Genomic DNA, 25310 nt, shown 5'->3' on the forward strand with positions numbered 1-25310 from the left:
GTGGGGGCGCATGCCTGTAATCCCAGCTACTCGGGAGGCTGAGACAGGAAAATCGCTTGAATCCAGGAGGCGGAGGTTGCAGTGAGCCGCCAATGTGCCATTGCACTCCAGCCTGGGCAACAAGAGGGAAAAGAGAGAAACTCCATCTCAAAAAAAAAAAAAAAAAAAAAAAATCCAGATGCCCAGATCAATTAAATGAGAATCTTGGTATTTTTAAAGCTCTCACTGGGCAATTCTAATGTGCAGTGAAAGTGGAGAACCATTGCTGTAAAAGCAGTGCTTGAGAGACTCTTGTGCTTATGAGTCACCTGAGGATCTTATTAAAATGCAGATTCAGATTCATAGGTCTGAGGAGGGAATTGAGAGTCTTCATTTCTGTTTTTGGAGACAAGGTCTCACCCTGTTGCCCAAGCTGAGTGCAGTGGCATGATCCTAGCTCACTACAACTCAAACTCCTGGGCTCAAGTGTTCCTCCTGCCTCAGCCTCCCGAGTAGCTGGGACTACACATGGGCCGCCACACTCCTTTTTTTTTATTTGTAGAGATGGGGTCTTACTATGTTGCCCAGGCTGGTCTCAAACTCCTAGCCTCAAGCAATTCTCCCACCTTGGCCTCCCAAACTGCTGAGATTATAGGTGTGGGCCCTAAATGTCCTTTAAGTGTTCTTCTAAGAGGGAGGCAAAGGGAAGTTTGACTACACAGAGAAGAAGGCAGCAGGGCAGGGAGAGATTCTGAAGATGCTAAGCTGCTGGCATCTAAGAGGAAGGGGACACGAGCGAAAGAATGCAAGGAATGCCGCTCTAGAAGCTGGAAAAGGATTCTCTCCTACAGCCTCTTCAAGGAGTGTGGCCCTGACAACTTCTTGGTTTTGGCCAAGTGAAACCATTTTGGGACTTCTGACTTCCAGAACTGTAAGATAATAAGTTTGTGTTGTTTTAAGCTGCTAAGTTGGTGGTAATTTGTTACAGCAAGCATAGGAAACTAATATACTGGGTTCAGTTCTAGGAAACAGAGAGGGTAGCAGAAAGCACAGGAATTGGAGACTCACACCTGGCTTGAAGTTGCCAGTCAACTTATAGACTTGCTGATGTGGAAGACAAACTGTTTTTCCTCTGCTCTCATACAACAATCAACACAGAAGACTTCTGTGACCAAATGTTGGAGTTTTCTGTTCACACACCAAGCAGGCAAATCAGTTCTGCAGTGGACACCAGCTGGGCATCCTCCAGTTCAATTCTGACACTATCTACCTGGAGATAGCATCAGATCCCACAGGTTGAGGGCTCAGTCCCACAAGACTGCCCGTGACCCCAACCAACTGCAAGTCCAGGCTTCTGGAACTTGATCAACTGGCTTCAAGTTGAGGGTCGGTTAATTCGCTACAGTGACTCACAGAACTGAGACATGCATTTACTAGTTTATTAAAAAGAATATCCTAGGCCAGGTGCAGTGGCTCATGCCTGTAATCCCAGTGCTTTGGGAGGCTGAGGTTGGAGGATCACTTGAGCCCAGGAGTTCAAGACTAGCCTGGGCAAAATGGTGAAACCCTTTCTCTACAGAAAACACAAAAATTAGCTAGGCCTGGTGGCACATGCCTGTAGTCCCAGCTACTGGGGAGGCTGAGAGGTGGGAGGTTCACTCGAACCCAGGAAGGTCGAGGCTGCAGTGAGCTATGATCACACCACTCTACTTTAGTTCAGTGACATGACAGAGCGAGACCCCAGATGATGGAGTGAGACCCTGTTTCTGGGGAAAAAAAAAAAGAGTATTTTAAAGGACACAAATAAACAACTAAATGAAGGGATACATACGGCCAGGTCTGCAAGGGTCCCAAGCACAGGAGCCTCTGTTCCCGTGGAGTTGGGGTGCACCACCTTCCTGGCACATGCACATGTTCTTATTCACCCTCCTATAAACCTCCACATGTTCAGCTCTCCAGGAGCTCCCTGAAGCCCGTCCTCTTGGGCCTCTTAGACTTCATTAGAGAGGCATGACTGAAGCACAGACACCATGTAGAAATGTGACTGGACTAAAGGGGTATGATCTAATACAAAGGAGGCTGAGCGGGGAAACCCAGCAAGGGTCTTCAGATTCCTGGCTTGTGCAGCATTTTTCCTGCAGGGCAGCAGGCAGGACCCCTTCTGAAATGAAGGTCTTATGACCCATAATCAGAAAAGTGGTGGAAGATTAGAGCCCAGCCTTGGGCAGGTAAAAAGGAGGGCAGAAGGTCAGAGAGGGACATTCTGTTTTCTGAGGCCTAAAGTGCCCCAACATTGTAACAAAAAACCGTACCAAGGGACTTATGAGCCAGGAACCATGGATGAAAAGATACATAATTTTATATATAGGCATAAAATATCACACTTGCCTGGGACCAAGATGTCTCCAAATCTGTTTCTTCATTTGAAAATCAGAGATAATCCCTTTCTTAGGCTTAGTGTATTAAATGAGAAGGAATGTAGCAGTAGGAACAGTGAGTACTTAAATGTTGCTTCCCTTTCCCCTGCTGTTTTCTCTTGCAGAGGTGTCCAATCGTTTGGCTTCCCTGGGCCACACTGGAAGAAGAAGAATTGTCTTGGGCCACACATAAAATACACTAACATTAACGACAGTCGATGAGCTAAAAGAAAAAAATATTGCCAAAAAAAAAAAAAACCCACGTTTTAAGAAAGTTTACAAATTTGTGTTTGGCTGCATTCAAAGCTGTCCTGGGCTGCATATGGACTGTGGGCTGCGGATTGGACAAGCTTGCTTTAGAGGGACTATCAGAAACTTATCTTCTCCCAGGCAGCTCCTACTGCTTAAGGTGCATAGGATCCCCTTGGACACAGGGTAACGCTATTGGCTTTGTCCAGTATCACATATGTGTCCTCTGTGCAAAGAAATACCAAGAAAGGCTGATTTGGTTGTTCTTATGCTCTAAAACTACAGTACTTGCTCATCATAATACATAATTAGATCCAGGCCCAGTGACAACAAACATCCCTTATCTCTGACTACTAAATTAGCTATGATTTATAAACTCTTCTCCTGAAAGGAAGAGAAGGAGGCAGAGTGAGGCATGACTGCAATAGTCTGAAAAGCCACAGTGACCTGACAACTCTTCAGGGACAGGCACTGCTTATCCGGGTGAGAATGAACATGGAGCCTAAATGCTTACCTGGACCATAAAGTTCATCACTGCAACCAAACCTGTTCTTTTGTTCTTACTACAAGATCAAATCCCCCTGCTTTGTGCTTCTAACATCAGCCCTATCCTCTGTCCTCCCATAACCTCAAGATACGTTTAGTTTCAAAACACGATAGGAAAACAATTAACAGTGTGATTTATTTTAATTTCACCATATTACATTAGCATACAAATAATTTGTACATTTAAAGGGTAGCTCCACTGGTGTAAGACAGCAGGCTGTAGTTCAAGGACCCAAGATAGGGAGATAGATTTCCTCTATCGCAGTAGTGAACAGAGACAAAGTGCTTACTAGGCAAGTTCACATTCACACAGAATTTGACCCCATCTATTATCTAATCCCCTCCCTATCCCAGTTGTCAGCTTTCTCAATGGAATGACAAGGGGATATAGCTTAAAAAAATGTCAATGAGCTGAAATCATCTCTACTGATTCTACCAGGAACCTATAAAGGAACAAGGTTTTTTTTTGTTTTTTGTTTTTTTTCTTCAAGACTAGGCAAGTGAAGCAGTGGGAATGGAGAAGGAACAAAGAAATCTACAAACTGGTTGTGATCAATTAGTTGTAAATACCACTGCACTTGGATCAGCCAGGAACAAGTTCTTTGAAATACGCCAGAGAATTAACATTATCAGTGGGCCAAATGTGTGGAAGATGTATTATCCTAGTCTCTTTTCCTGTTCTCTAGAAGTATGTTACTGGCTCTTAAAAGATTTCACAAAAATACGCTTTGAGGAGAATCACAGCTTTCTTGATTAGTATCTACAAGGCACTTAATGCACATTTTCAGTGAGGAAGCTGATGGAGAGAGAAAGAGTAACATGAACCATTCTCTTATACTGAACGCCAAAATTCTGGATGTAAAATAACATTCAGTTGTACTGCCTCTGTAAACAGGGCCAATTCACATCATTCCACAGCGTGGCCATGTCAATAGGTTTCACTGCAGGTTTTCAAAAAGCAGATTCCACATCACCCATCTCCACACACACAGTCTTCAGCTGTGAATAATATTCGATTGTCACACGGCCGTTCTCTCTGCCAAATCCTGAAAGGAGGAGAAGGGGTCAGGTTGAGCCATCACTACAATAGTCTGAAAAGTCACAATGATCTTCAAAGATGAGCACTGCTAATCAGGGCTAGGGAAGAATATAGAACCTAAATGTTTTGGAATAAAGCCTCAATCCACATATTAGCTGTGAATGGAGCTAGGCATGGGGAAAATGACCCACTGGCATTTGGGGATAGGGATAGGGAAATATACAGATCTTGTTTCTCACCAATAGGAATCTTAATTTCAGGTATCTACTATTCTGGGTTGAGGTCTGAAAAATGCTTGGATTTTATATCAAGTGTTAAAGGCAATCTCTACAATAATCAACCTGACACCCTTGAAAGCTGATGCTAATTTAAAACTTTACACAATAGGCTTATTCACCATTTCTTAAACACCTATAAGAGCAACCTAGTAACTTAACCTACCCACTCATGTTGGTGAGGGGTCACTGAAGGTCCCTCTGATTACTCAGAGTTCAAGACACTGCCCAATTACTAGTGGGTGAGGTTACTGTGCTAAAAGGGTAGTATCCCACCCTTGGCCCTGCCTGTACACCCTGTGCTAGACTTAGGTAGGCTCTGCCTTCCAAGGGCAAGGCCGAGGTCCCAAATATGTGCATTTCCAGGGAGCACCACTCAAATGGTATCACACACAAAGGTCCTGGGAAAACCTCACTCTGTCTTTTGTTCCTTTCCAAATCCCCTAAGCACACAGCTGGTCAGGCCTGTTAGGCCAGGTGTTGCTCTGCACGTCTGGCCATCTTTCTCGCTCTCTCATTCCACATAGCATGGTCTGGTCCAAAGGAAAGGGAAAGTTAGGAGGCCCTCCAAAGGCCTAAGCTGCTGATTCCAAACAAATAATTCCCTGCACTGAGGGACTATCAGAAACTTAACATGTAATGTTATATGTTACATGTTAATAAGATGGCACCTTGGTTCCCACCTGCACTTGTGTCTGTGTGTACGACTCCTCTGAGTACCCCACCGGGACAAATAAGACTGTCAAATTAACACCCACCATCTCATCAGTGTTCATCAGAGTTTATATATTTGCCAACACTGTGATGGCTGTAAATATTTGCCACAGAAACTAGAGGTCAGACTCTTAGAATGGTGCCTCGACAAAGTCCAAACCAATTTTCACTCTAGAAGAACAGCATGAGAAATATGTAAATGAATATTTACAGGCAACAAACTCCAAAGAAAGAACCTCAAGGTTCTGGCTATACTCCTGATGCCTCAAACCTTCTCCTGATATACCAGACTTACAAATTTATATGTTGTGGTAACATATGTCTGACTATAAAATGAATGAAATGAATGAGCAGTGGCTAAGGAAACACACTCCTATATGCCATCAAGGGTAATGAAAACGATTATAATTGATTGCTTAATGATAAATTTAAAGATTTTGTTAATTTGACATAACAGAGGAAACAAAGTTACTGAGCTATTACTTGAAAGACACTTTACCTAAATGGAATCTAAAAACTCCACAGTGGATGATGATGGACATCCCTGATACAGAACCCCTAAGGGAGTGATTTTATGCTTACAGAAGTCACAGGCTGTGAAGAAAAAGTATTCTACCCACAAGATAAACCTTTTTGAGATATCTATCAGCAGTTCACAAGCCAGGCTATACATCAGAACCCTCCAGAAAGATTTAGGGAGTGTTGGGTAGGGGAAGATGCTTGACTTCCATTCCCAGAGACTGCTACAGTGGATCTGGGGAAGGACCAGGAACCTGTATTTCCCCAGGTAATTCAGATATGCAGACAGGTTTAGGAATACTGGTTTATAAGGTCTGAATTACGACCTAGCTCTAGAGACCTAGTTTGCATTCACACCTCCCAGCTCCTCACCTGACTTCTTATATCCACCAAAGGGCAACTCCACTGGGCTGACGTTATAGTTGTTAATGAAGCACGTCCCAGCCTGAAGCTCAGCTACCACTCTATGAGCCCGTTGGATGTCCCTATGAAGAAAAAAAAAATGTGTGCATTATTGAGAGTTTCTTAGGCTACTACTTTAACAGGAAAAGTTACACTGCCAGTTCTAGGGTTCTCAAATCTTACTAAATTCTCATTTCTTCAAAATGTTTTAAAATCTTTTATCATCCAGGCAAAACAGATATGGATTGGGTTTTATAGTCCCATGCACATGGTATCTTTAAAATAAGTAACAGCAATAAGGGTACCAAAATTCAATGGAGGAAAAACAGTCTTTTTAACAAATGGTGCTGAAACAAGTGGATATCTACATGCAAAAAATAAAGGTGGAGCCCTTTCTTACACCATACACAAAAATTAACTTAAACGCATCACAGACCTAAAAATGTCAGACTGAGAACTATAAAACTCTTTGAAGAAAACAGAGGAATAAATCTTCATGACCGTGGGTCAGGGAAAGATTTCTTAGACTATGACACCAAAAGTAACAGATAAAAAAAACAGAATTAGAATTGGTCAAAATTTAAAATTTTGTGCTACAAATAAGACTATCAAGAAAGTGAAAAGAAAACCCACAGAAATGCAAATAAAAACCACAATGAGATACTACTTCACACCCACAAGGATGGCTAAAACCAGAAGGACAGACAATAACAAGGGCTGGTGAGGATGTGGACAAATTAGAACCTTCATACGTTGTTCGGAGGAATGTAAAATGGTGCTGCGAATTTGGAAGAGTTTAGCAGTTCCTCAAAAAGTTAAACATAAAGTTACCATGTTACCCAGCAATTCACTACTAGATATACACCCAACAGAAACGAAAATATATGTCCACACAAAGGCCTGTACACATATGTTCATAGCATCATTATTCATAATAGCCAAAAATGAAAACAACCCAAATGCCTGTAACAGATGAATGGACGAACAAAAAGTGGTACATATCCATACCACGGAATATTATTTGGGAATAAAGTACTGATAAATGCCACAACACAAATGAACCTTGAAAACATTATGCTAAGTGAAAGAAGCCAGTCACAAAAGAATATATACTGTATGATTCCATTTATATAAAATGTTCAGAATGGGCAAATCCATGGAGATAGAAAGTAGTTTAGTGGATGCCAGGGGCTGGGGGTGGGGAGTGGGAATGAAGAGCAACAGTTAATGGGCACAAGGTTTCTTCTTGAGATGATGAAAGTGTCCTAAAAATAGATTATGGTGATGGTTGCACAACTCCATGAATAAACTAAAACCACTGAATTGTACACTTTAAGTGGGTGAATTGTACAGTATGTGCATTATCCCAGTAAAGCTGGTAAGAAAAAAAGAATAGCACATTGGAGTTACCCGCCTTTGTAACCGGACTTTGTCTGTACGAGGGTGGCAAAGTAAAGTAAGAGCACTTAACCTGCTCACTCCCCAAATCAAAAGAGCAGCTCCTCAATCTTTTCTTCGGAGCTCAAAGAGAAGCAATTACATCAGGTCCTCAAGTGAGACTTGGGCTTTCTTCCCAAGCTCTTGACCATGAAGTTATAAAAAAAAAAATGTGAACTTTATGTATCACCAAAGAAACAGCATAATCCCAAGTGTAAAGCCGCTTTAGCAAACTGCCTTCCACTGCCAAAGACTAATCAAAGTTTGTATAAAACCAAGCAATCTGCAATTGGTTTCAAAGAAATTGTACTCCCAAATCATTTTTACTTGTAATAGTAAAGTTTATGCACAAAGATATTAATCATATTACTATAATATTTAAAATAGAAACAATATCCCAAATATCCAACCACAGAAAAAATGGCTACATGAGTTATAATGCATTCCAATTAGGAACTACTATAATGCCACTAAAAATCATGTTTTTGAAGAATACTGCCCACAATTTATATACTTACAGGTTTCTAAATTCCTTGACATGTGTGTTTTCAAAAGACATCTAACCCAATGCTTTACATAGATCAGAATCTTAAGTGTTTATTAAACGAGCTCAATTTAAAACTCAATAGCAGGGTTCTCTGGCCATTTACAGCAAACTGCAAAATGCTGCTTTGGTGTCTTCTGACTTAACCTGAAGCAAACAGAAAGTGCTGATGGCTCCTATGAGGGCAAACTAAAGTGAGAGAATAGGATCAATTAAATATCTAAGCAGATACTGCAGCCCCGCTCCTTCAAAACTGCTCTCAGTGTCCCACTCCACATACCTGGTAAAGACGCCAGCTGCTAGTCCAAAAGTGGTATCATTGGCTCTTTCTAGAACCTCAGCTTCAGTGTCAAATGATAAAATGGACATAACAGGCCCAAAGATCTCTTCCTTCACACAGGTCATGTCGTCTCTGCAATTAGCTGCAAACATTAAAATAAAACCTCCTGAGCAGCTGGGACCACAGTGTGCACCACCACCCCCAGCTAATTTTTTGAAGATCGGGTCTCACTATGTTGCCCAGTCTGGTCTCAAACACCTGGGCTCCAGCGATCCTCCTGCCTCAGCCTCCCAAAGTGCTGGGGGTGTTCCACTGCACCTAGCCCCAATATTTTTAATTTAACAATGTATTGTAAGCTTTTCCTATTTATTAAATATTCATGTAATAACTGCAACCTAATTCATGGGGGATGGACATTAGGTTTTCAGCTTTTAAATGTCAATGGTTCTTTCTAGTGAGGATTAAAGGTTATATACTGCATCAAATATGAAGTTGTTAAAAACTGACACCACTATTAACCTTAGGGGCAAAAACCAGCTTAATTTATCTCCAAATAAGATGTAAGGAATTATACAACATGGTTCAACCTACATATAATTGTTTAAAGCCTACAAAACTATCAACATTTTTGTAGGGGATACTAACATACACTATAAAATGATAGAGAAAAGCATAAGAATGATAAAAACAACACTGAGAATAGTAGTTACCTCTGAAGTAGGAGGGAAGTAGATGGGTGGGAGTAGGATGCCCATATACACCTTGACTGTCAAAACTAGATTTTTAAGACTGAATGGAGGTGCTAAAAATTATTAAATTATGTAATTTCTAAAAAGATTAGTATATTATCTGACATACTGGTTTTATTATATTGATGACTGATATGGTCTGGATGCCTTTCTCCTCCAAATCTCATGTTGAAGTATGATCCCCATTGTTGGAGGTAGAGCCTAGTGGGAGGTGTTTGGGTCACGGGGCAAATCCCTCATGAACGGTTTGATGTCCTCCCCATGGTAATGAGTGCATTCTCACTCTGTGAGTTCACACAGAGCTGGCTGTTTAAAAGAGCCTGGTGCCTCTCTTGCTCTCTCTTTCACCATGTGACTCGTCTGCTCCCCTTTCACCTTCCACCATGACTGAAATCTTCCTGAGGCCTCAACAGGAGGAGATGATGGTGCCATGCTTCCTGTACAGTCTGCAGAACCATGAGCCAAATAAACATCTTTTCTACTTACCCAGTCTTAGATATTCCTTCATAGCAATGCAAAATGTCTAATACAATGATCTACAGGTCACATGAAAAACATTCTTTATTTTCTCAAGGAATTAAATTTATTAATTTTTTTAATCAAATATGCACTTTCATATTTTTGAGCTCCTTGCTTCCAGAACAATAGTTGTGGTCCTGGATAAACTAATACATATGGGTGCCCTAAAGGAGGGGCACACAGAAGGCTTCAAAGATAATGGAGCAGTTCTACTTCTTAAACTTGGGTAGTAGGACCACATAATTTGCCAGCCCTTGCTTTATATCATGTACATATTTTATAAATATTCATCTCTATCTATTCAGTATTTAATTCAAATCATCTAAAAGCAAACAAAAAGAGGACATACTTAATACACAAGGTCTCATGTAATATCCATCCTTTAATTTGGGATCTTCAGGTACATATATATCTCCACCACATAACACTTTAGCACCCTGCCGAAAAGGAAAAAAGATATGTTGTATTAAAAATATAACCCCAAAATGCATTCCTGAAATGTTAATTGTATCCCGAACAAACACATAGTCTTCCCAGTGCAGGTACAAAGCAGAACACAGCCAGGGATGCTAATAGTCCAATGAATAATAGTCATACGAATATTAACATGAAAAGGGCACAAAGCATGTGATTTAGGAGTAGTATAATCTTCCCCAACCCCACCCTACTGCCAATTATTTCTTACCTGCTCCTTTGCCACTTTGACAAACCCAAGGACTCGCTCCAGGTGTGGTCGGTTGATGAGTGGACCCATCCTTGTATCTTCCAGAAGGGGATCTCCAATTTTAATCCTTTGGGTCTGTTTCACCACTTCCTCTGTAAATTTATCAAGAATTTCTTTCTGCACAAATACTCTTGTGCCATTACAGCAAACCTAAAGGACAAACACAAGACATCAATTTCTATGTGTGTAAGGAGAAAAAAGGGAAAAGGAAAAATGAACACAATCTAAAAACTTTAAACTGAAAAGAGACACTATACATTTTTTAAAAGGATATTTCCATTTCTAAAAATTGTCTCCATACTGAATAAGAAGGATCACACACGTAATTGTGGACATACCACTCCACAAGCAAAATCTGCCCTTTGAGGTAAAAGTTAGTTCTTATTTTGCTTGTTTAAATTTTTTAAAGGCCATTACTAGATCCATATAACCCACAGCACCTCTCCTACTTCCTCATATCAGGGCTCAATCTGGCTGTATATTTTAAGAATGGAAGGGAACTTAACAGTAAACCTATATCAAGAACTGTGGTCTTAAATCTAATTGTTAAAAAATTTGTCTCTGAAATCACTAATAATCACTATTTAGACCCTCCTATAGAAAGGAACATAAAAACTGTTCAAATGCTGTAAGAACACAGAACAGAAAAGTCCAAAAACACAGCCAAGTGCTCATGGAAATCTAGTCTATGATAAAAGTGAAAGCTAAACTATTAGGACAGAGATGAACTAAATAAATGGTGCTAGAACAAATCATCAGTAATGTGGAAAACATAAAATAAGATACATATCTTACATCACATATAAAAATAAACTCCAAATGTATCAGGAATCAAAATATAAAATAAGAAATCAGGGCGCAGTGGCTCACATCTGTAATCCCAGCACTTTGGGAGGACAAGGTGGGCGGATCACTTGAGCTCAGGAGTCCAAAATCAGCTGGGGCAACATGATGAAACCCCATCTCTACAAAAAACATAAAAATTAGTTGGGTGTGGTGACACGCACCTGTAGTCCCAGCTACTTGGGAGGCTAAGGTGGGAGGGTCACTTGAGCCTAAGAGGTCAAGGATACACACAGTGAACCCTGACTGCGTCACTGCACTCCAGCCTGCATGAGAGAGCGAGACTTTTTTTTTTTTAAAAAAAGAGACAATACTGGTAATTCCTCTAAAACCTAGGTGTAGAAAAAGGTTTTCTATTACCCAAAATCTAGACACAATTAAAGAAAAAAAATTGATAAATTTGACTATAGAAAAATAAAAATTTTATGCATGGCAAATACCTTAAACTAAGCCAAGACCATTAAAAAATTGGAATAAAATTATTTGCAACATTTACCTCAGATAAAAGGCTATCATCACTAATTTTAAAAAACTCTTAACAATTAATGGAAAATCATATCTCATAATATAACATACCAAAAATGTGAATTTTATTATATGTGAGTTTTGAAAAAGACGTTCAATGTCATTCATAATTGTAAAACAAGGTTGGGCATAGTGGCTCAGGCCTGTAATCCCAGCACCTTGGGAGGCTGAGGCAGGTGGATCACTAGAGGTCAGTAGTTCAAAACCAACCTGGCCAACATGGCAAGACGTCATCTCTACTAAAAATACAAAAAATTGGCTGGGTGTGGTGGTGCACACCTATAGTCCCAGCTATAGGAGGCTAAGGTGGGAGAACTAGTTCAACGTGGGAGATGGAGGTTGCAGTGAGCCGAGATCGTCCCATTGCACCCCAGCCTGGGCGACAGAGCGAGACTCCGTCTCAAAGATAATAAATAAATAAACAAACAAACAAACTGAAATTAAAACTATACTGAAATACCACTTCTCATCTATCTGATAAAAATTTAAAATTGTGACTATATATGCTGTTAAGAAAGGCTATGAAGAAATAGGTACTCATGCATCGTTAGTAAGAATGTTCCTTTTGCTGCCTGACAGCTGCCATCATGGGTCACATGCACGCTTCTGGGAAGGGTCTGTCTCAGTCAGCTTTGCTCTATCGCTGCAGCATCCCCACTGAAGTGGGGTTGCTGAAGTAGGGGCTGAAGTTGACATCTGACGACATGAAGGAGCAGATTTAAAAACTGGCCAAGAAGGGCCTGACTCCTTCACAAATCGGTGGGATCCTGAGAGATTCACATGATGCTGCACAAGTACGATTTGTGACAGGCAATAAAATCTTAAGAATTCTTAAGTCTAAGGGACCGCTCCTAATCTCCCTGAAGATCTCTACCATTTAATTAAGGCAGCAGTTGCTGTTCAAAAGCTTCTTGAGAGGAAGAGAAAGGATGAGGATGCTAAATTCTGTCTGATTCTGATAGAGAGCCGGATTCACTGTTTGGCTCGATATTATAAGACCAAGTGAGTCCTCTCTCCCAACTGGAAATATGAATCATATACAGCCTCTGCCCTGGTTGCATAAATTTGTCTATGTACTTGAGCAATAAAATAATTGCTTAACTAACAAACAAAAAAAAAAGAATGCAACATTTCCTTTTAGAGAGGGATTTGGCAATATCTTATAAAATTACATATGCAGTCAATATCACTAATAATCAGGGAAATGCAAATCAAAACCACAATGAGATACCACTTCATACCCAATAGGATGACTATTATCAAAAACAGAGAAAGCAAGAAAATAAGAAAATAACATGTGTTGGCAAGGATGTAGAGAAATTGGAAACTTTGTGCATTGCTTGTAGAAATGTAAAATGGTGCTGCCATTGTAGGGCACAGTACAGTGGTTCCTCAAAAAATTAAACACTGAATTATCATATGATCCACTTATTCCACTTCTGGATATATACCCAAAAGAACTGAAAGCAGATACTTCTACTATAGATATCTGTACATCAATGTTCATAGCAACATTATTCACAACAGCCAAAAGTGGAAACCACCTAAGTGTTCACAAATAAAAAAATGGATAAACAAAATGTGGTATGTGTGTGCTGTGTGTGTGTGTATGTGTGCTGTGTGTGTATACATACATACAATGGAATATTATTTAGCCTTAAAAAGGAAAGAAATTTTGACACATGCTACAACATGGATGAACCTGAAGATATTATACTAAGTGAAACGAGCCAGACATAAAATAATAAATATTGTATGATTGCATTTATAAAAGGTACGTAGAATAGTCAAATTCATAGAGACGGGAATTAGACTAGTGGTTACCAGAGGCTGAGGGGAGAGAGAAACAGAGTTATTATTTAATGGGGTACACAGTTTTCAATGTGGGGTGATGAAAAAGTTCTAGAGATGAATAATGATGATAGTTGTACACAACGTGAATGTATTAAATGTCACTGAACTCTACACTTAAAAATGGTTCAAAAAGGCCAGGTGTGGTGGCTCACGCCTGTAGTTCCAGCACCTTGGGAGGCTGAAGCAGGAGAATTGCTTGAGCTCAGGAGTTCAAGACCAGCATGGGCAACATGGCGAAATCTCATCTCTACAAAAAATACAAAAATTAGCCAGGCATGGTGCCACATGCCTATAGTCCCAGCTACCCAGGAGGCTGAAGTGGGAATATCACTTGAGCTTGGGAGGTTGAGGCTGCAGTGAGCTGGGATGATGTCACTGTACTCCAGCCTGAGCAACAGAGTAAGATCCTGTCTCCAAAAAATAAAAAAATAAAAAATAAAAAAAATACAAACACACACACACACACACACACACACACACACACACACACACGGTTAAATTGGTAAATTTTACATTAGGCTTTACCATACACACAAAAAAATCATCACAATATATAAGGAACTCACACTATTCAATTGCAAAAAAAAAAAAAAAAAACCTCTGATTACGAATGGGCAAAAGACCTGGATAGACATATTTCCAGAAACATACAAATGGCCAACAAGTTTATGAAAAGATGCTCCACATCACTAATCATCAGGAAAATGCAAATCAAAATCACAATGAGGTATCACTTCATATCTGTTAGCATGGTTATTATCAAAAAGATAAAAGATAACAAGTGTTGGTGAGGATGCGGAGAAAAGGAAATCTTGGTATACTGCTGGTGAGAATATAAATTAGTATAGGCTGCTCTGCCTATGGAGTAGCCATTCTTTATTCCTTTACTTTCTTAATAAACTTACTTTCACTTTATGGACTTGTCCTGAATTCTTTCTTGCACAAGATCCAAGAACCCTCTCTTGGGGTCTGGATCAGGGCCCCTTTGCAGTAACATCTTTCTGGCAAACCATGGAAGGGACAATACTGAGGAGATCCTCCCGACCCAAAAGAAATAGACTGCAGCACTGATTGGCCAACTCTGGATATCACCTTTTGTCGGAACTCAGAGTTATAAGCGACCCTCACCCTGACGCTTTCTGACTGAGCTCCTCTCTATCCTGAATACAAGAGACCCTAATAATTAGACAGGAATATCATTGCCCCTATTCAGCATGAAAAAGTTTACAGAAGATGGATCTTTGTCCCTCTGCAACCCTTAGGATTAAGGGTTCTTTTATAAAAGGGAGAGGGGAAATGTCACAGGTGTTTGAACTAGAGCAACTTCATCTTAAGTAGGGGCTGGGTAAAATAAGGCTGGGACGTACTGGACTGCATTCCCAAGAAGTTAGACATTCTAAGTCACAGGATAAGATAGGAGATCAGCACAAGATACAGGTCATAAAGACCTTGCTGATAAAACAAGCTGTGGTAAAGAAGCCAGCTAAGACCCACCAAAACCAAGATGGTGATGAGTGACCGCTGGTCGTCATTGCTGCTCATTATATGCTAATTATAATGCATCAACATGCTAAAAGACATACCCATCAGCACCATGACAGTTTACAAATGCCATGGCAACGTCATTTTACCCTATATGGTCTAAAATGAGGAGGCATGAATAACCCACCCCTTGTTTAGCATACGATCAAGAAATAACCACAAAAAGGGGCAACCAGCAGCCCCTGGGGCAGCTCTGCCTATGGAGTAGGCATTCTTTATTCCTTTACTTTCTTAATAAACTTCCTTTCACTAAAAAAAAAAAAAAAAAAAAAAAAAAGAATGTAAGTTAGTATAGCCATGAAGGAAAACAGGATAGGGGCTCTTTAAAAAATTAAAAATTGGCAGGGAACAGCGGCTCATGCCTGCAATCCCAGCACTTTGGGAGGCCGAGGTGGGCAGATCACCTGAGGTCAGGAGTTCGAGACCAGCCTGGCCAACATGGAGAAACCCCGTCTCTACTAAAAATACAAAATTAGTCAGGCGTGGTGGCACATGCCTGTAATCCCAGCTACTCAGGAGGCTAAGGCAGGAAAATCACTTGAACCCAGGAGGCGGAAGTTGCAGTGAGCTGAGATCGTGCCATTGCACTCCAGCCTGGGCAACTAAGTGAGACTCCGAATCAAAAAAAAAAAAAAAAAAAATTAAAAATAGAACCATCCTATGATTCAGCAATTCCTCTTCTGGGTATATACCAAAGGAAATGAAATCAGTAGCTTAAAGACATATCTGCACTCCCATGCTCAGTGCAGCATTATTCACAATAACCAAGATAAGGAAATAACCCCATTGCCAGATGAACGGATAAATTGTGATACATATTTAAAATCACACTGGGCATGGTGGCTCATGCCAGGCGTGGTGGCTCACGCCTATAATCCCACACTTTGGAAGGCTGAGGCGGGTGGATCGCCTGAGCTCAGGAGTTCAAGACCAGCCTGGCCAACATGGTGAAACCCTGTCTCTACTAAAAATACAAAAAAATTAACTGGGTGTGGTAGCGCATGCCTCTAGTCCCAGCTACTTGGGAGGGTGAGGCAGGAGAATCGCTTGAGCTCCAGGGGCGAAGGTTGCAGTGAACCAAGATCGTGTCACTGCACTCCAACTTGGGCTACAGAGTGAGACTCCATCTCGAAAAAATAATAATAATAAAATAAATTCACATTACGTCACAATTATTTTTAGTGCTCTCTCTCTCTCTCTATATATATATAAAGTATACATAGTACAGATTATGTAGAATATTCTATATATTTATTCTATATATTCTATACTATATGTATTCTTTGTGTGTGTATATTCATCCACACACACACATAGCAAAGAAAGCAAAGTACAAAAGAGTACCTCTAATGTGCTACCTTTTGTGTATGAAAGAAGAATAAGAAATATACAAGTACCTATTCATTTGTGGAAAAAGAAACACAGGAAGCAAAAACCAGAAACAAATCAGACTGGCTACCCACAGGAGATGGACAAAACTGGGTGGGAAGGAGGCACTGGAAACAGAGTACACAGGATGGGGAGCAGTAACACTTCTGAGTATCTGTTTTTGTAAAATTCTGATGTTTAGAACCATGTTTGTGTTTTGCCTAATCAAAATAAAATTTTAAAATCAGCAAGGATGGGGGAAATAAAACCCAAATGAATACAAACACAAACAAATGAATCTGTTATTTTAAATGAGTATCATAACCACACTGAAGGAGGGTGAAGGAAAGGTAGAACTGACCCAAGTAACTTTTGAACACAGTATTCTGACTATACTCTCACGCTGAATATAAAAACAACTGTAAAAAAATTCTGAGCTCTAATTAGAAGGTTTATTTTCCACAGAGGTATGGATTTACAAATCTGAAACTACTATTATTAGAATACTAAGTGTATTCTATGATGAGCAATTAGATAAACATTGTGGATAATGGGAGTCAAATTTCTTACTGTCAGAGAACAAATACAAATATGGAAAGGGAGAAGGCAGAAATGAACCCTGTGGTATTAGACTATAATTAAAGTATCTGGATGAACTTATTATTATGTAGACAGACAGATACAGAACTAGATATGTGCACAGACATATATACAAACATGTATTTCCCAGCACTGGCCTCTGAGAGGGCCTAGAAGCAATGATACACCAGTAGCAACAAGCACACCTGGCACTCAGATCTTGGTTTCTAAATACCATTTACCACTAAATGGAACCAGGGCTTTTGGTTGGTACTGCCGTCTTCCAGTAATTCACCAAAACGACAAACACAGGGAAAGAGAAGAATTACCCAATATATGTTCTCTAGGCCTTTTAGAAAACATGGAGTTGTTCCTTGGGCCACGTGCATGCAAATCTATAAGAAAGGCAATACTGTAGACATCAAGCGAACGGGTACTATTCAAAAAGGAATGCCCAAAAGCATTACCTGGGAAAAACTGGAAGAGTCTACAATGTTACCCAGCATGTTGTTGGCACTGCTGTAAACAAATTAAGGGCAAAATTCTTGCCAAGAGAATTAACGTGCACATTGAGCACATTAAGCGCTCTAAGACCCAAGATAGCTTCTGAAATGCATGAAAGAAGATGATCAGAAAAAGAAGGAAGCCAAAGAGAAAGGTACCTGGTTTCAGCTGAAGCACCAGCCTACTCCACCCAGGGAATCCCACTGTGTGAGAACCAACGGGAAGGAGCCTGAGCTGCTGGAACCTATTCCCTATGAATTCATGGCATGATAGGTATAAAAAAATAAAAGACCTCTGGACTGCAAAATTGTTTCTCTTTATTTAGTAGAGAAGTGTGGTGTCCTCTCCCCCAAAAAAATATTTAAAGCAGATTTTAATTGTGTCCTAACTCATTGTGTAATGTCTTTACTGTTCAGACTTAGTATTTTTCTTGCTGAAAGATGTGAGGTGGCTTATCGTGCAACAAATTACTCAACTGGTTAGAAAACAATCAGATATTATTTATGAAATACTTGTACTGGTTTGAAGATAGTCCTTCTAAATCATAAAAAAAAGTTTACAAAAAATAAAAAACAGGCCGGGCACGGTGGCACATGCCTGCAATCCCAGCACTTTGGGAGGCCGAGGCATTTGGATCACTTGAGCCCAGGAGTTCAAGACCAGCCTGGCCAACACAGTGAAACCCCGTCTCTACAAAAAATACAAAAATTAGCTGAATGTGGTGGTGTGCTACACTGGAGACTGAGGTGGGAGGATTGTTTGACCTTGGAGGGGCCGAGATTGCAGTGAGCCAAGAAAGCACCACTGCACTCCGGCCTGGGCAACAGAGCAGGACCCTGTCTCAAAAATTAATAATAAACAGATAAACAATAATGGAACCAGGCCTCCTTCAGAGAAATGGCTGGTTCCAGAGCACAGCCAGGGGAAGTATGAGTCTGGAACACTTTGCTATGCCAGAAAGTAATGAAGTATTCAAAGAATAATGAGGGCATATCAAAAGGTCACGGAAAGGGATTCCCACCAGCCATCTGCAATTATTTTAGCATCAAAATAAATAATGAGGCTGGGTACAATGGCTCATGCCTGTAATCCCAGCACTTTGGGAGGCCAAGGCAGGTGTATCATGAGGTCAGGAGATCCAGACCATCCTGGCTAACATGGTAAAACCTCATCTCTACTAAAAACACAAAAAATTAGCCAGGCGTGGTGGCGGGTGCCTGTAGTCTCAGCTACTTGGGAGGCTGAGGCAGAAGAATGGCATGAACCCAGGAGACAGAGCTTGCAGTGAGCCGAGATCGCACCACTGTACTCCAGCCTGGGCGACAGAGCAAGACTCTGTCTCAAAAAAAAAAAAAAAAAAAAAATTAGCCAGCCGTGGTGGCACACACCTGTAGTCCCAGCTATTTGGGAGGCTGAAACAGGAGAATCACTTGAACCCGAACCCAGGTGGTGGAGGTTGCAGTGAGCTGAGATCGTGCCACTGCACTCCAGCCTGGGTGACAGAGTGAGACTCCGTCTCAATAAAAAAATAAAATAAAGGCCGGGTACAGTGGCTCACACTTGTAATCCCAGCACTTTGGGAGGCCAACGTGGGTGGATTGTGAAGTCAGGAGTTTGAGACCAGCCTGGCCAACACAGTGAAACTCTGTCTCTACTAAAAATACAAAAATTAGCTGGGCATGGTGGCGGGCACCTGTAATCCCAGCTACTCAGGAGGCTGAGGCGGGGGAATCGCTTAAACCTGGGAGGCAGAGGATGCAGTGAGCCGAGATCGTGCCACTGCACTACCGTCTGGGGGACAGAGCTAGACTCCGTCTCAAAAAATAAGTAAGTAAATAAATAAAAATAAAAAATAAATAAATAATGATAGTATTGGATTATAACACATAGAATGAAATAAGAATCCATGGGTCCATACTGATATAAATAAATGAATGGAAAACAAACAGGGGTGAAGGGCAAGTTCTTTCTTACAGTAGAAGGTGAACAAATATAGAAGAAATGATGGAATTGGAAAATCACCATTTGCAACCCCATAATAAAAATTGTTTTCAGCAAGAATCGTCAGTGGTGATAGAAGTATTTACTGCATGAAAGTTTGATGAGGAACAGGATAGTCTCAAAATACCTCCTACAAGATCTTATTAACCACAAAGTAAAAAACAGTAACTTTACAGTGAGGACTTACCTTAAAGCAAGTGATCAAAGTTAAATCACCACTGAGTAGGATATGACATCATGTTTGTGGTATTTTTGCCAAAAATTCATAATATGAATCTAACAGAAAACATCAGACAGACCCAAACTAAGGAACATTCTACAAAATGAATGGCCTGTTCTCCCAAAATGTCAACGTCCTGAAAGACAAGAATAACTGAAGAACTGTTCTCAGCTAAAGGAGATTAAAGACAAGACAACTAAAGGCAATGCATCATCCTTGACTGGATCCTAGACCGGAAAAAAAACCATTTTTGTTCTATTTTACTATGAGGACATTAGTCAAACAAGTGGCAAAATTTGAATAAGGGCTATAGATTGAGTAAGGGCTATAGATTCAGTAACAGTACTATATCAATGTTAATTTTTTAATTTTACTAAGTGTACCGTGCTTATGTAAAAGAATGCACTTGTTTTTAGGAACTTTATATTTAGAGGTTAGGGGCCTTATGTCTACAATTTACTCTCAAGGTTCAGAAAAACTTAATATGCCTACGTATGTACAGGCAGATAAAGAAGATGATAAAGTGAATCTGTTAAAATGTTAATATTTGAGAAATCTGGTTCAAAGGTACATGGGAATTCTTTGTACTATTTGTGCAACTTTTCTGTAAGTCTGAAAGTATTGTAAAACAAAAAGCTTTAAAACACACTGTTGGATGAGGGGGTAGAGATTCCTTTTACACCTCTTCCAGGGACAGGTACATACCTGGCCTTGTGTGAGGAAGTTGGCCATCAGCGCCCCCTTTACAGCATTGTTCATATCACAGTCTGAGAAGATGATGAGTGGAGATTTGCCTCCAAGTTCCAAGGTAACAGGTTTGATTCCTTTAGCTGACATCTCCATGATCTTGCAGAACAAGGACAAGGTATTCAGAACTTTAACACAAATTATATTGCATGCTAAGTCAACTAGGCCCTGAACCTACAAAATCATCTTGAACTGTTTGTGACCTGTAGCCTTATTCTTGTCAATATCCTTTGCCTTTTGGCTATTAAAATATTCTATTCCAGAAAACTGAAGAGAATCCACAGAGTTGCACTGACATTAGAAGAGGGAGTTCATTTAAAAAATATTGTCCCAGCCTGGGCAACATAGCAAGACCCTATCTCTACAGAAAAATAAGAAACTTAGCCAGGCACAGTGGCACATGACTGTAGTCTCAGCTTCTTAGGAGGCTGAAGCAGGAGGACTGCCTGAGCCCAGGAGTTGAAGGCTGCAGTAAGCTGTGACTACACCACTATAATCCAGCCTGGGCAACAGGGTGAGACCCTGTCTCAAAAAAATAAAAATAAAAAATATTGTCAATTCACAGGATTGTCATAGCCAGAAATTCTTTTGTGTTATTGTTACTGTGTTTAAGGCTGACAGAGTTCAGAACACAAATTAATGTCAAAATAATGGATCTGAAATAGCCTGAGTAAAAATCCTTTCTTCTATACAAGAAATTAAGTCACTAAACAATACAAGTGGCAGCCCAGGCCCCTGTCCACTAAGACACATCCTCTCCTTAGGCTGGGGCTGTTAATTTCCACCCCTACCTGGCCTAACACAAATCACCCCATGTGTACTCCCTTTCCCCCTTCATACTTTTACAGGAAATTTCACACCTCTGCCTAATAAAATCTCCTTCCCATTCCCAATTCAGGCTAGGTAAAATCAAAAGAGAAGCCTCCAAAATATACTCTGGGTAGGACCGGATTTGCCACATCCAAATGCCATGTGTGTTGACCAATACTGGTTTTGTCCTCACCTTCATGCCAGTGGGCACACTTCCAGTGAAGGAGACTTTGGCCACATCGGGATGCTGACACAGAAACTGGCCTGTGGCAGCCCCTCCCTGCACCACATTGAAGAGCCCAGGAGGTACACCAGCCTCACTGTAGATTTCAGCCAGTAGCAATGCAGAAACAGGTGTAAAGGGAGAAGGTTTAAAGACCATGGCATTACCTGCATAAACCCAAGACACAAACATAAAAAGACTTTCTAAGACCAGTGATCCCCTGAAAACAGGACTAGAGGACAATTCAAAAATGATTCCAATTGTTTCCTCTTCCCCAACCAAATCCTACATCAAAAATGTTATTAATAACCATATTAGTTTGTTTTCATGCTGCTGATAAAGACATACCCGAAACTGGGAACAGAAAGAGGCTTAATTGGATTTACAGTTCCACATGGCTAGGGAGGCCTCAGAATCATGGCGGGAGGTGAAAGTCACTTCTTACATTGGCGGCAGGAGAAAAATGAAGCAGCAGCAAAAGCGGAAACCCCTGATAAACCCATCAGATCTCATGAGACTTATTCACTATCAGGAGAATAGCATGAGAAAGACCAGCCCCCATGATTCAATTACCTCCCCCTGGGTCCCTCCCACAACACATGGGAATTCTGGGTGATACAATTCAAGTTGAGATTTGGGTGGGGACACAGCCAAACCATATCAATAAGTAAACAACTCTTGTCCTTTTCATCTTGGTTTCTCTCATTAAACAGATCCCAAACCCTACAGTTGCCCAGTCTCACATTTGCATATCTAGGCCTTTTCACATATATTATCTCATTTAACACTTTCAACAGCAGTATGAAGTAGGTATCATTAGCTCCATTTTATAAAAGTTGACATTGAAGACCAGAATGGTTCACTTGATGAGAGTCCCCAAAGCTAGTGACTTAATTCTGGTGACTATTAAAGCTAGTGACTATTTTTCCTCTTTCACAGCTGTATCTCAAAGAGAAATAGGCTAAAACAAGAACATGCAATGGCAACAGGACAAAAGCTGCATTTCAATATAATGTCCTAACAGTAATGCTTTCTAACATTACAATTTTTTCTAAGATAAAATTAGTCTTCTTTCCTCAAAGATTCTTCTCTTTAAATACTGTAAGAAAACTATTTTATGTCAATCAGCCAAAGCTCCTCTTTGATAAGAAGCTTATCAAAGCCTTGCTTATCATTTCTCTTAAGACCCAAATGAAGAAAGGAGTTTATCTTCTGCTTCGTAAATGAAGTCAAACTCCTAAGTGCTAACTCCTACCTTAAAATTCTTGTCCAGAAAGGAAGAGAACTTATAAGTAGCACAAATCTAATTCAATTTAATAAGAAAAAATTAAATTTCTTTTCATATACAAAATTAAATAAATAAAACCTGAGAATATCTAGACATGATTGTGTACAACCTTAACTATAAGCTCCTTGAGGGGCAAGACAGGGCAGGAACGAGCCATGTCCTCTGAGGCTTTGAATATCCCAGAGCAGGCCCCTTCCGATTTAAAGTGTGTGTTTATAGAGAGGTGAAAGGTAGAGAATGGGGAGAGAACGAACGAGAGAATGAACGAATGGCTCTCAAATGGAGGGATAATTCATTCTTACCACAGGCTAATGCTGGAGCCGACTTCCAAGAGGCAATCTGAAAGGGGTAGTTCCATGCTCCTATTCCCACACATACCCCAAGTGGTTCTCTTCTGGTATAACCAAACGATCCACCTGGGAGCTGGATGTGTTCACCTATGGGGAAAACAGGAGTAAAGGAGGATGCAGGTCTGTGCTCCCCAAGATTTCACCAACATCTGTACCAGTCTGACTTGTACTCCAGTCAACGCAGCCTCCCCACTTCTCCCAATACACCAGGCTCACCCTGTCTCCATTCTTCTATTTGTTCCAGGCAGTCTTCCACTGGCTTCCACGTATTCTCTCCACATAGAGAACCCTGCCTATCCTTCAAACACATGTTCATCTAACTTGATTTTACAACTCTCTAAGAATTTACTGAGCCTCTATTAGATAGCTTAGATGAAACAAAATGGAAATGAGAGGAACACTCAACAGCAGGGGAAGCATGTAAGTTCCTTGCAACCTTCCTAGGCCCTACCAACCTTCCAATATCAATTGTTGAAAACTTTATACACTGTCAAAAAAAAGTTTGCTAAATAGATAAAACTGGTAAATATGACAAACCGATTCTTATGAAAACTGGTTTTTCAGCAATTTGGTCTAAAGCTCAGGTATCATGCTAGGTGCTTTACATGCACTATCTCATTTAATCCTTAACCCAAGAAGGTAGGAATTATTATCTCCAGTTTAGATTAGGAAAGATAAAGTAATTCCCAGGCCACCCAGGTAGAAAGTGACAAACCCAAGACTTTCACCCAGGTTTGTCTTAATTCCAAAATCTTTGCCCTTCACCACTAGGCCCTGCTCTTCTGCCTCATTATCAGCTGGTCACAGACACCAGGTGAGGACTTACCAGCCATGGATGCAGCCAAGCCCGCATAATACTCCAGGCACTGCCAGGAAATGTCAATGTCCAAGCGGGCCTCAAAGATGGACTTGCCATTGTTGATGCACTCCATAGTAGCAATTTCATCCTCCCGTTCCTTTGGGTAAAGCAGAAGACTAGATTTAAGACATATTCCAATATGTCTTGATGTAATTAATGCTTAAATAGAACACACTGCTCAATTTTTAAAACTAAAAATAGCTTTCACTTTAAATGAAAAGAAATGGCAGTGTTACATTTAGAAGAGAGATAAAGGCTTATAGCTGAACAGCAGCCCTGTTCTTCCCTCGTTAATTAATCGACAAAGATTTAAGACCACTACTTTATTTCAAGATCAGTTAGTAAAAGAAGGGGCAAGACCGGGCAGGAATGAACCCATGCCCTCTGAGGCTCTGAAAGTCACAGGGCAGGCCCATTCTGATTTGAAGTGTATATTTATTGAAGAGGTGAGGGGTAGAGAATGGAGAGAAAATGGATGGCTCACAAGTGGAAGAATAATTCATTTTGGAAAATGAATGTAATACGTACATGTACGTAAATATGTATGTTTGCTCATATATGGTAAGAGAAAACAGTTCTTAGGGAAATTATACAAAATATTCTAACACACAATTGCATTTAAGAGGTTGTAATATGCGTCACTTTAAGTCACCCAAAGAATTGCAGCATATTCTCTTCTAATATTTTCTAATACTTAGCATTCAATCAATACTATTTTCAAATACTGTTTCTAGTTCTGGGCTCCACAACTTACTAAGGATAAAGAAATTCAATAGATGGTCCAATGATGAGCTTAAAGGTTTAGGAAATTAGACCTAAGAAAGAAAGCTAAATAATGCCTTTCTTTGGTCTAAAGGACATAAAAGAATTGAATATGTAAGAAGTAGGCAGTTGCTATTATGGGTCCAATTTAAAATAAATAATAGGGTGACTATCAGAACATACATAAAAGATTAAGCAACTGACAAGAAGGAACATTCTGTTTATAAAACTGATAAGCAGTAAGGCTGGCCAGAAGCAAAATGGAGTGCAACAGAAACTAACTCAAGCATCTATCCACAGTACAAAGCTCAGAAAAGATGAAAGTAGGAATATGAAAACCAATATGAAATACAAGAAAGGACAGTTGGATAGTGAGATTTGGACACGCTGTATTTCTTATAAAGGCCAGAGGTATAAAGTGCTTTGACTCATTCATTCTACA

At 40.2% G+C, this 25310-nt stretch overlaps 1 protein-coding gene and 2 pseudogenes across 2 annotated transcripts in view; 2 read left to right on the forward strand and 1 right to left on the reverse strand.

Moving 5' to 3' along the window:
- The window catches only part of ALDH9A1 (aldehyde dehydrogenase 9 family member A1), a 36347-nt gene continuing 14345 nt past the window's right edge, over positions 3309-25310 (reverse strand). For both annotated transcript variants that reach the window (NM_000696.4, NM_001365774.2), the window contains exons 3-11: positions 24074-24203; positions 23200-23334; positions 21580-21776; positions 20535-20675; positions 10355-10543; positions 10019-10106; positions 8402-8543; positions 6111-6223; positions 3309-4237 (exon numbers count right to left, since the gene is read on the reverse strand). In NM_000696.4, the coding sequence (NP_000687.3) occupies positions 4143-4237; positions 6111-6223; positions 8402-8543; positions 10019-10106; positions 10355-10543; positions 20535-20675; positions 21580-21776; positions 23200-23334; positions 24074-24203 (1230 nt within the window). In that variant the 3' untranslated portion in view covers positions 3309-4142. The remainder of the gene's footprint in view (positions 4238-6110; positions 6224-8401; positions 8544-10018; positions 10107-10354; positions 10544-20534; positions 20676-21579; positions 21777-23199; positions 23335-24073; positions 24204-25310) is intronic.
- On the forward strand, positions 12349-12824 carry RPS13P1 (ribosomal protein S13 pseudogene 1; annotated as a pseudogene).
- Positions 17365-17909, forward strand: RPL21P27 (ribosomal protein L21 pseudogene 27; annotated as a pseudogene).

This window comes from Homo sapiens, chromosome 1 (assembly GCF_000001405.40).
Source record: "Homo sapiens chromosome 1, GRCh38.p14 Primary Assembly".
Classification (NCBI taxonomy): domain Eukaryota; kingdom Metazoa; phylum Chordata; class Mammalia; order Primates; family Hominidae; genus Homo; species Homo sapiens.